This window comes from Homo sapiens, chromosome 10 (assembly GCF_000001405.40).
Source record: "Homo sapiens chromosome 10, GRCh38.p14 Primary Assembly".
Lineage (NCBI taxonomy): Eukaryota > Metazoa > Chordata > Mammalia > Primates > Hominidae > Homo > Homo sapiens.
Genome location: NC_000010.11, coordinates 104129888 through 104142405, shown reverse-complemented (window position 1 = coordinate 104142405; position 12518 = coordinate 104129888). Strand labels below are relative to the sequence as shown.

Here is a 12518-nt window from a genome sequence, read left to right as displayed (position 1 = left end):
TGGTTTCTTTAGGTAAAGCAGAAAGCAGCTGACTTATTGGAAATGGCAACTTTCCTCCAGAAGAGAGTTGAGGAGGAAGAGAAGGTGCAACAGGAGATTGAGAGAGTGTTCCATGAACTCATCCTGTAATTTGAAGCTTTCTTTCATGTTCACCTATTCAAAGTCTAATTAGGGCTAAATCAGGTTGTGTTATCACTGGGGAGAATGCCTACTGACTGCTTTACAGCCATCTCCCTTCCAGCACTGTGCTTTAAAATTTCTATTTTAAAAAGCCTGCTTTGTTACATAGACCTTGATTCAGGATGGAACTTTCCCACGTTTTGTTGCTCTTATTACAAATAAGCAAGTTTCAGAAAAATCTTAGTATTGTTTTAAGTCGGCCCCTTCCACATAAAAATACAAAGAACCTGTTTTTCAGTACTTTGGGGCTCAAGGCATATAAGCTAACCATGTGGAAAATTAAGCAGATGTCTAAGAACTTTCCATGTAGACACGCAGCCAACTGATATATTTTTCTTTAGGGGAACTTGTTGTTTACTAAGTGATTAAGATATTTAAGTCCTTGCTTCATTTTTTGGCTATATTTATAGCCTCATCGATAAATACTTCTCTGATGTTCCCAAATTCATTGAGAACACATCATTTTTAGATCTAGGCTATAGCGAGGATATGAATTACCCAGAAATAGATTTGTTAAGTAACTTACATATTAAATATTGTTAGTATAGTATCAGAAATCAATAAATAAGTTCAGAATTTTAATAGAGTTATTTTATTTATTTATTTATTTATTTTGAAATGGAGCCTCACTCTGTCACACAAGCTGGAGTGCAGTGGCACGATCTGGGCTCACTGCAGTCTCCACCTCCCAGGTTCAAGAGATCTCATGCCTCAGCCTCCCAAGCAGCTGGGATTACAGGTGCCTGTCACCACCCCTGGCTAATTTTTGTATTGTTAGTAGAGATGGGGTTTCGCCATGTTGGCCAGGCTAGTCTCGAACTCCTGACCTCAGATGATCCACCCACCTCGGCATCCCAAAATGCTGGGATTACAGGCATGAGCCACTGCGCCTGGCCAGATTTGTTATTTAAAAGTGTCTCTATTTTCTTCATTTTTACTTTACTTTTATTACCGTCAAAATTATACAATCTTTTCTTAATCCTAAAGTAAAAATCTATAAATGTATTTCTGTCCATACCATTTTTTGAGCAACCCAGGTATAATTCTGCATCAATAGGAAGAGGTTTCAGAGAGACCTCTAGGAAAGCTCATCATCAGGAAAATATTCTCCACACTAATCTCCAGCATGTTTTCCTTAAGCTGATTCGATTTTTATATTCTCAGATAATAGGTGAAATTTGAAATATATTACAACTACTTGCTTTGAAGTACTTTTCAATTCAGATTACAGGAAGAGAAAGTGAGATTCCAGTTGAATTTGACAATCCAAATTCTTCTTAAACAAGGACAAGTAGAACTGGAAAATTTCCAGCTAGTACTGGAGTATTCTGATGCAATTCTCATCAACAAGAACATAATTGAAGACTTGAATTCTGTGATTCGGGTAATTATACTTTTTATTTTTATTTTAATTCAAGGTCTTGCTTTGTTACTCAGGCTAGAGTCTTGTGGCACAATCATGGCTCACTGCAGCCTTAACCCTTAGCTAGGCTCAATAGATCCTCCCACCTTCACCTCCCAAGTAGCTGGGAGTACAGGTTCACACCACCACACCCAGCTAATTGTTTTAAAATTAGTTTTTTGTAAAAACAGAGTCTTAATATGTTGCCCAGGCTGTTCTCAAACTCCTGAGCTCAAGTGATCCTCCTGCTCTGGCCTCCCAGAGTGCTGGAATTAACAGGCAGGAGCCACTGCACCTGGCCAATTATACTTGTTTAAAGACAAAACATATTGCCTGCTGTACCAAATATTTTACATTATTCTCCCATTTTCATAAGTAATTTTAATTCAATTAAGTCAGTGGTTTCCTAACTGTGGTTGCACATTAGAATCATTTGAAGAACTTTATAAATGTGCTCAGACCCCACCCCCAGGATGAGTATTTTTTAAAAGCTCCCTCCATAATTCTAAGGTTCAAGAAGGATCACAGAGCTAAATGTCCATTCTAGTATGCCATCGTTTTTTTAGGCCCAGCCTACTCAGGCAAAGATAATCTTAGATAAGCTTAGTTAGTTGATTTCAGACCTTACTTCTTTTCTAATATGAACATTTAATGTTATTTCTGTATAAGCTTTAGGTATAATTGAGTCCTAAAAAAATATTCCCTATAAGCTTTATTTTATCTGTATTCTACAAATTTTAATATTTTGTGTTTTAATTTTCTTTTACATATTTTCTAATTTCTGTTGTGACTTCCTATTTGATTCATGGGTTATTTAAAAGCGTGTTATTTAATTTCTAAATATTTGCGGATTTTGTGCTATTTGGGAATTAGATGATAATGCTACTGTACATTTTATTTTTACAAATGCTATAAACACAAAACATATTGCTATTATTTTTTGCTTTAGACAATTATCTTTTAGAATAATAAAAATGTGAAAAGAGGTATTTTCTATTTACCTTAATTTTCACTATTTCAAAAGATCTTTATTTCATTGTGTAGATCCAAATTTCCATCTTGTATCATTTACCTTCTGCTTAAAGAACTTCCTTTAACTTAATTGAAGTACAAGCCTGCTAGTAATGAATTCTCTCCATTTTTCTTTATCTGAAAAAGTTTTTAATCACCTTCATTGTTGAAAGATACTTTGCTAGATTCACTGGATTGCCAGGTTCGTTCATTTGTTCTCTCTCTCTCTCTTTTCATTTTAAAGATGTTCATTTTCTTCTGAACATCTAGATAGTTTCTGACAAGGTTTCTGCTATATTTTTTATCTTTGTTCATCTGAATTTAATGTGTCTGGCTTTGAGATTTTTTATTTGTTTTTCAGCAGTTTGAACACAATGTGTCTAGGTGGGGATAGGGGGCGGTATGCACATGTGTGCGTGAGATTCTTGAGCTTCTCTGAGCTTCCTCAATCTGTGATTTGATATTTGTCATTATCTTTGGAAAATTCTTATTTATTATCTCTGAATATTTCTTCTGCCCCTTTCGCTCTCTCTTTTTCTACTGGGATTCCAATTACACACGTGTCAGATTGTCTGATACTGTTCCACATCTCTTAGATATTCCATACTCATTGTTTTTCACTCTTTGTTCTCTTTATGTTTCAGTTTGGGTAATTACTATTGCCCTATATTCAAGTTCATTCATTCTTATGCTGTGTCTAGTCTGATAATGAGCCCATCAAAGGCAAAATATCTGTTACCATATTATTGTAGATAGATAGATAGATAGACAGACAGATAGATAGACTTACATTTAGTATTTCTGTTTAACTTATACTTTCCATCCCTCTGCTGAAATTCCCCATTTGTTCATGCATGTTGTCTATCCTTTCCAAAAATTTTTGTTTTAGAAAAGTTGTAAAGATAGTACAGAGAATTCTCATATACCCCTTATCCAGTTTCTTATATTTTATTATTTTCCATCAGTATGGTACATTTGCCACAACTATTGAACTAATATTGACACATTATTATTAACTAAAGTACAAACTTTATTCACTTTTCCTTAGTTTTTACTTAAGGTCATTTTTCTGTTCCAGGATCTCATCAGGATGCATTTTATTTAGTTGTCATGTCTTTCTTTTTTTTTTTTTCTTTTTAGACTGAGCTTTGCTCTTATTGCCCAGGCTGGTGTGCAATGGCACTATCTCAGGTCACTGCAACCTCCACCTTCTGGGTTCAAGCGATTCTACTGCCTCAGCCTCCCGAGTAGCTGGGATTACAGGCATGCGCCACCACACCTGGCTAATTTTGTATTTTCAGTAGAGGCGGGGTTTCTCCATGTTGGTCAGGCTGGTCTCGAACTACCAACCTCAGGTGATCCGCCCACCTCAGCCTCCCAAAGTGTTGGGATTACAAGCCTGAGCCACCGTGCCACCGGCCAGTTGTCATTTCTTTCTAGATAGTGACAGTTTCTCAGTTTTGTCTTGTTTTTGATGACCTTGACAGTTTATTGTAGAGTAATAGTCAGTTATTTTGTGGAATGTCCCTCAACTGTGGTTTCTCTGATGTATTTATCACTATTCGCCTGGAGTATGGAGAAAGAGACCACAGAGGTAAAATGCCCTCTCAGCACATGATTTCAAGGATACATGCTATCAACATGTCATCACTGTTTATTGAATCTTGACCACCTGAATTGAGGTAGAGTTTTGTCAGGCTTCTTTACTATAAAGTTACTTTTTCTCCACTGTTCCATGCTATACTCTTTATAAGGAAATTAGTCATAATTATTTTAAATTTCCCATCTGATAGTTCTAACACCTGTCATCTCTGATCTAGGTGTGTTGATTGCTTTGTAACTTAGTTTTTTAGAGATATTTTTATTGTGGTATAATACACATAACATAAAATGTACTATTTTAACCATTTAAAGTGTGCAAGTCAGTGGCAATTAATACATCGCAAAGTTGTGCAGCTAGTACTGCTATCTAGTTCCAGAACATTTTTGTTTTGTTTTGTTTTTTGTTTTTTGAGACAGGGTCTGGCTCTGTCATCTGGGCTGGAGTGCCGGAGCATGATCTCAGCTCACTGCAGCCTCCGCCTCCCAGACTGAAGCCATTCTCCCACCTCAGTAGCTGGAATTACAGGCACGTGCCACCACACCTGGCTAATTTTTATATTTTTTTGGTAGAGATGGGGTTTCACCATGTTGCCCAGGCTGGTCTCAAACTCCTGGGCTCAAGCGATCCTCCTGCCTTAGCCTCCCAAAGTGCTGGAATTACAGGAGTGAGGCACCCCACCCGGCCTCAGAACATTTTTTATCATCCTAAAAGGAAACCCCACACCCATTAAGCAATTATTCCCCATCCACCTCTTCCCTTAGCCCCTGGACACCACTAATCTGCATTTTCTGTATGGATTTGCCTATTCTTAGTATTTTGTATGAATGGAATCATACAATATGTGGCCTTTGTTTTCTGGCTTCTTTCACTTAGCATGTTTTTAAGATTTAACCATGTTGTAGCATGTATCAGTCTTCATTCTTCTTTTGTGACCAAATCATATTTCATTTTATGGATATACATTTTGTTTATCCATTCATCAGCTGGTGAATATTTGGGCTATTTCCACCTTTTGGCTATTGTGGTGCCTATAACTGTTCATGCACAAGTTTTTGAAAACCTGTTTTCAGTTCTCTGGGGATATATACCTAGAAGTGGAATTGCTGGATCGTATGGTCATTGTATGTTTAACTGATTGAGGCACTAAAAACTGTTTTCCATAGTAGCTGCACCATTTCATATTCCCACCAGCAAAGTATGTGGGTTTCACTTTCTCTACGTCCCTATCAAAACTTGTTATTGTTTCTCTTTTTTGTTGTTTGCTTGCTTGCTTTTTAATTACAGCCATCTTAGTGGGTTTATTCTTGATGTAAATTTCTCTAATGACTAATGACATTGAGCATCTTTTCATATGCTTGTTGACCATTTGTATATCTTTGGACAAATGACTACTGAAGTCTTTTGCCCATTTTCAAATTAGGTTTTGTTGTTGAGTTATAGGAGTTTTTTATATGTTCTGGACATTAAACCCTTATATAATTTGCCAATATTTTATCCCCTTCTGTGGATTGTCTCATGTTTTTGGTGTTAAATCTAAGAATCAGGCCGTGTGCGGTGGCTCATGCCTGTAATCCCAGCACTTTGGGAAGCTGAGGTGGGATCACCTGAGGTCAGGAGTTTAAGACCAGCCTGGCCAAGATGTGAAACCCCGTCTCTACTAAAAATACAAAAATTAGCCGGGCATGGTGGCAGGCACCTGTAATCCCAGCCACTCAGGAGGCTGAGGCAGGAGACTCACTTGAACTCGGGAGGCGGAGGTTGCAGTGAGGCGAGATGGCGCCACTGCACTCCAGCCTGGGTGGCAGAGTAAGACTCTGTCTCAAAAAATAAAATAAAATAAAATAAAATAAAATAAAATAAGTAAATATCTAAGAATCAAATCTGAAGTCATGAAGATTTATCCCTGTTTTCTTTCTTCTTTTCTTTTCTTCTTTTTTTTTTTTTTTTTTTTGAAATGGAGAAATGGATTCTCGCTCTGTCTCCCAGGCTGGAGCACAGTGGTATGATCTTGGCTCACTGCAACCTCCATGTCCCGGATTCAAGCGATTCTCCTGCCTCAGCCTCCTGAGTAGCTGGGATTTACAGGCGCCCACCACCATGCCCAGCTAATTTTTGTATTTTTAGTAGAGACAGGGTTTCACCTTGTTGGCCAGGCTGGTCTCAAACTCCTGACCTCAGGTGATCTGCCTGCCTCAGCCTCCCAAAGTGCTGGGATTACAGGCGTGAGCCACTGTGCCTGGCCTCAGTCCCTGTTTTCTTCTTTGAAGTAGGGAAATGTTAGCCATCCAACTTTTTGTTTTCAATATTGTTTTGGCTATTCATGATCCTTTGCAGCTTCATATGAATTTGAGGATCAGGTTTTTCCATTTGAAAAAAAAAAGCCATTGAAATTTTGGCAGTGATTGCATTAAATCTATAGATTCCTTTGAGGAGTACTGTCTTAAGTCTTTTGATCCAAGAACATGGGATGACTTTCCATTTATTTAATCTTTATATTCTTTCAGTAATATTTTGTAGGTTTCTTTGTACACACACTTTTTAGATAAACTTTATTTCTAGGTTTTTTCTTTCTGATATTATTGTAAATGGAATTGATTTATTAATTCTTTTCCAGATTTTTCAGTGGTGATGTATAAAAATATAACTGATTTTTGCATATTAATCTTATACTCTGCAACTTTGCCAAATTTATGTATTATCTCTAGTAGGGTTTTTGTGGATTCTATATGACTTTCTCTATATATATAGACTCATTAATCTGTGAATAGAAATTGTTTTACATCTTTTCAGTTTGGGTGCCTTTTATTTCTTCTTCTTGCCTAATTGCCATGACTAGAATTTTTATTACAGTGTTGAATCAAAGTGACAAAAAGTGGGACATCCTTGTCTCGTTCCTGATCTTAGTTGGAAAGCTTTCAGTCTTTTATCATTGAGTATGAAGTTATGATGGGTTTTCTGTAAATTCCCATTATCATGTTGAGGAAGTTCCCTTTTATTCCAAGTCTGTTGCATATATTTTTTTTAATCATTGAAGTGTGCTGGATTTTGTCAATTTTTTTTTTCTACATCAATTGACATGATCATGTGAGTTTTTAAATTTGTTCTGTTAATGAGGTATATTATATTGTTTGATTGTGCGGACTACTCTTGCAATCTTAGGATAAATGACACTTGGTCATAGTTATAATCCTTTCAATGTGCTGCTGGAATCAGTTTGCTAGTATTTTATTGAACGTTTTTGTCTTTGTGTATGTATTCATAAGGGATATTGGTCTGTAATTTTCTTGTGATGTCTTTCTCTGGCTTTGGTATCAAGGTACTGCTGGCCTCATATAATATATTAGAAAGTGTTCCCTCCTCTTCTATTTTTTGGAAACATTTGAGTAGTATTGGTGTAATTTTTCTTTAAATGTTTGATAGAATTCATCAGTGAAGCCTTCTTGTCCTGGGCTTTTCTTTTTTGGGAGGTTTTTGATAACTGATTCAATTATTTACTTGTTTTAGGTCTATTAAAATTTTCTATTACTTTTTGAATTGGTTTTTATAGTTTGTGTGTTTCTAGGAATTTTCTATTTCATCTAAGTTACCTAATTTGTTGGTGTAGAATTTTCATAGTATTCTCTTATAATCCTTTTAATTTCTGTAATATTGGTAGTAATATTCTTGATTTCATTTCTTATTTTAGCAATTTGAGCCTTTTTTTTCTTAGTCAGTCTAGCTAAAGGTTTGTCAATTTTGCTGATTTTTTAAAAGAACCAACTTTTGGTTTCATCATTGACTATTGTTTTTCTGTTTTCTTTCTTTCTTTTTTTGAGACAGGGTCTTGCTCTGTCACCCAGGCTGGAGTGCAGTGGCATGAACACGGCTCACTGCAGCCTTGACTTCCTGGGCTCAAGTGATCCTCCTGCCTCAGCCTCCTGAGTAGCTGGGACCACAGGCGTGCACCACTATTCCAGGCTAATTTTTTGATTTTCCGTATAGTTGAGGTCTTGCTCTGTTGCCTAGGCTGGTCTCAAACTCCTGAGCTTAAGCATTCCTCCTGCCTCAACCTCCCAAGGTGGTGGGATTACAGGCATGAGACACCACACCCAGCATCAGGTGGGAGGACAATGAATAGGGATACAAATGCATACAGGTTGGTAGATTGGGTGATGGCAAAAAAAAGTTCCTGCCTAATTGTTGACATATAAAGTAAATTGGCTCTGCTATTTAAATGTATCTTATAATCCCTTCTGTTTAGTGACTATCATGCTTTATAGTGATCAGATTTTGCCCAAGAAGCCATTTTTAATGTCTGTTTCTTAAAAAGAAGACAGAATTATCTCTGTGACCCAAGTATTTTCTAAAAATAGCATTCAGCCTCAAATATTCTATGTTCTATATGCAGAATCATATTATATGGATATCTAATGTACTTTTTTAAAGACTCAAGGACAAAAGAAAGTTGCTAGCATGATGGAAAGTAAAGATGTACACAAAAGAATACTTCAGATTGAGTGGGAACATAAGAAAATGGAGATGGAAAGGGAAGATCTAAATCAGAAGGCTTGGGATATTCAGATGCTATTTTTTTCAAGAGATCGTCAAAAGGTAAATTCTCCCTACCCCCCTACATAGTTTTAATTTTATTCATTAATGTATTCATTCATTTAACCAGTATTTAATAAGAAGCCTCTGTGATATCAAGCATATTCTAAGCCAGGAGTGTTTCAAAATATATCTGTGAGTTATTTTTCTTCCAACAGTTTACATTTGCAGCCTCCAGTTCTTCATGACCCATTTAGTAGAATCATTCTACTCAGAGCTAAGGATTTCCTGTCAAACCCGGTGGTCCTTCAATTCTCTGTAGCATTTAACCATCTTAATTTCTCATTCCTTTGGCTTTCATCACCCCAAATTAATTTTGCTTCCAACATGTCATACCACTCTACCTCTTTTACTGGATTCTCTTTTGCCTCTAACACTTCAATATAGCCGTTCTTCAAGATTTTGCCCTTAGCTATGTTTGTGTTTCTTTCCATACCTCTCCCTGGGTGATGTCCTCTGTTTTTCTAACTTCAACGATCACTCCTACAAACTAATCCAAGTTCTGTGGATTCCAAGCCATGCCCCATTTCTATAGTTTTCACCTCCCAGCAGCTCTTCTTAGTTTGCCTTTTTTGTACATCCCAAATCTACTTTTCAAGGTCTAGTTTAAATACCACCTTCTCCTTCATAAAACCTTTCTTGATTTTCCAAGCCTGGAGAAATTCCATCTCATTACAAACCACCTTTGAATTAGCATGACACTCTACATGGCTTCTGGCAACCAATCATATCTATGTGATCATTTTCCCATGAAGACTAGGACATGTTATCTATCTTTGTATCTCCCTCAGTGTCTTTAACTAGGACTTTGTTAATGTGGGACTCAAGTGGAACAACACTTAAATGTTTGGTGAGTTGAATAAATGAATTAATGAATGAGAAAATAAAGTAGGCATTTGTAATAATTGGTGCTTTGATGTAATAATTAGTGTACATGAATGTATTGATGGCTAAATACAGGGAAATATTATGGCACAAAAGCCAAATCAATCTTTTTTTGTTTTTTTTGAGATGGGGTTTTGCTCTTTTTGCCCAGGTGGAGTGCAATGGTGTGATATCCGCTCACTACAACCTCCACCTCCTGGGTTCAAGCAATTCTCCTGCCTCACCCTCCCGGAGCAGCTGGGATTACAGGCATGTGCCACCACGCCCAACTAATTTTTTGTATTTTTTAGTAGAGACAAGGTTTTACCATGTTAGTCAGGCTGGTCTTGAACTCCTGACCTCAGGTGATCCACCTGCCTCAGCCTCCCAAAGTGCTGGGATTACAAGCGTATGCCACCACGCCTGGCCAAGCCAAATCAATCTTAACTTGCATAGATATTTGTTATGAAAAACAGTAACTTTCAAAGCTAAAACAACCTTTATAAAGTCATCTATTGAAAGAGAGAAAAATATCCTTACATGTTTTTTTTTAATCTCAAAGTACCTAAATGAACCAAACTATGAGGCTCTGATTAGTATTCAGATTGGAATAATGGAACAAACCATTGCTGTTTTAGATAAGGTAAGTCTCAAAGACGTTGGTTATTATATCCTAACAGTTGTAAATCATTTGAGCAAAGTAATAGTGTTTCAAATCATGAATTTACCTAGACCCTAATAAAATCTTGGTTATTTACTAGTATTCATGAGGTAATTAAAAGTCCCTAAGTAGTATCTTTGCAACCGCAACTAATGAAATAAAATTAAGCACTTCCTTTAATATTAGAATTAACCCCTGGGGACATATCTGAGTGTAAGTGGATTTTCTATTTTACATTAGGTTAGGATTTATGTAATAGGAGTGTTGGTAGTCTTTCCTTGGCATTGGAAAGGTTTTATTTAATCATCACTGAATAAAAATGGTCAGTTTTTATTATGTAGCATATATTAGAAACAAAGCAATCTCAAGCTTTTAAAATATTCTCTCAGTTTAAGAATATACAAAATGTTTTTTCTAAAATTTGTTATTAACATACCATTCTACCTTTCAACAAATAACTCGAGTGCCTACTATGCCAGGCACTACAGATATGGCGGTAAGATGTTATCTTAATGATGATAATGTATTTAAAATATAAGAATAATGTCTTTATAGGATAAATTACATTTTTCAAAATTAATTTTGTGGGGTGTCATGGGAACAAAAATTTCAGATGCACAAAAAGAATGTGGAAAACTGCAAGAAACTACTCAAAAAACTTGGAAAGTTCAGCAATCAAAAAGATATAGCAAATTATGCCCTAAGCTGCAATCTACGAGAAGAGTTGGTAGCTGTCTCAGAGAGAAAAGACATCTGTAATGCAATGGGTAAGCATGCTTTTTTTTCTTTAACCAACTGTAGGTTTCTTTAAAAGTAATCAGTAATCCTAAAATGTATACAACAGTTAAAAAGCTATCAGCATTTCTTTAAAAATACATTGTTTAAAATAATTTCAACTTTTATTTTAGATTCAGGGAGTACATGTACAAGTTTGTTACTTAGGTATATTGTGTGATGCTGAGGTTTGGGGTACGGAATGATTCCGTCACACAGGTACTGAGCATAGTACCCCATAATTTTTCAGCCCTTCCTCCCTCCCTGCCTCCTCCCTCTAGTAGTCCCCAGTGTTTCTTTTCTTTTTTTTTTTTTTTTTTTTTTTGAGACAGGGTGTCCCTCTGTTGCCCAAGCTGCAGTGCAGTGGTATGATCTTGGCTCAATGCAACCTCCACCTCCTGGGCTCAATTGATCCTCCCACCTCAGCCCCCTCAAGTGCCTGGGACCACAGGCAGGAACCACCATGCCCGGCTAATTTTTGTATGTTTTGTAGAGAGTAGGTTTTGCCATGTTGGCCAGGCTGGCCTCGAACTCCTGAGCTCAAGAGATCCGCCCACCTCAGCTAACCAAAGTGCTGGGATTACAGGTGTGAGCCACCACACCTGGCCTCCAAGTGTTCCCTGTTACCATCTTTATGTCCATGAGTATCCACTGTTTAGCTCCCATTTATAAGTGAGAACATGTGGTATTTGGTTTTCTGTTCCTGTGTTAATTTGCTTAGGATAATGGCTTCCAGCTACATCCATGTTGCTGCAAAGGACATTATTTCATTCTTTTTTTTATGGCTGTGTAGTGTCCCATGGTGTATATGTACCACATTTTCTTTATCCAGTCCACTGTTGATGGGGCACCTAGGGTGACTCCATGTCTTTGCTTTTGTGATAGTGCTGCTGTAAACATACAAGTGCATATGCCTTTTTGCTACCAGCATTTCTTCCACATGTATGATTCTGAGTGCTGCTTCTGTATTTGAAAGTATTGATAAATAATCGAATTCCTTTATTCATTTTTGGGATAGGGTCTAAACTGACTTGTGAAAAGATTGTCAAAGAACGGTATGAAAACATGATGCAACAGCAGAAGTTAACAAATATTTCAAAACAACAAGCTGAACAGATTTCAATACTACAGACTGAAGTTGAAAGATTAAGAATGAAAACATTTCCTGCTCTTGTTCAAATGTAAAAACGCTGGCAGGAAAACACAAGGCCAAATCAATCATTTAAAAAATCATTTCATTTGGGTAAAATGATTTCCTTTTCTTTCTTACTGGGAAATTGAAGTAGCATGTCCTCTGAGTTGCATGTTTTAGATAAAAAATTGTTTAATTTTAGCCTTAATTGTATACAAATTTTTGTCCTGCATGAATAAATGTGTAAAATACCATGAATTGCTGTTTTTATTCAAGAATAAACAAGACTTGAAGTCAGAAAGTA

At 36.6% G+C, this 12518-nt stretch overlaps 1 protein-coding gene across 1 annotated transcript in view; it reads left to right on the top strand.

Moving 5' to 3' along the window:
• CFAP43 (cilia and flagella associated protein 43) overlaps nt 1-12518 on the top strand; it is a 102477-nt gene extending 89959 nt beyond the window's left edge. The window contains exons 33-38 of the mRNA NM_025145.7: nt 13-125; nt 1405-1564; nt 8622-8786; nt 10210-10290; nt 10922-11075; nt 12101-12518. Of these exons, the coding sequence (NP_079421.5) occupies nt 13-125; nt 1405-1564; nt 8622-8786; nt 10210-10290; nt 10922-11075; nt 12101-12267 (840 nt within the window). The 3' untranslated portion in view covers nt 12268-12518. The remainder of the gene's footprint in view (nt 1-12; nt 126-1404; nt 1565-8621; nt 8787-10209; nt 10291-10921; nt 11076-12100) is intronic.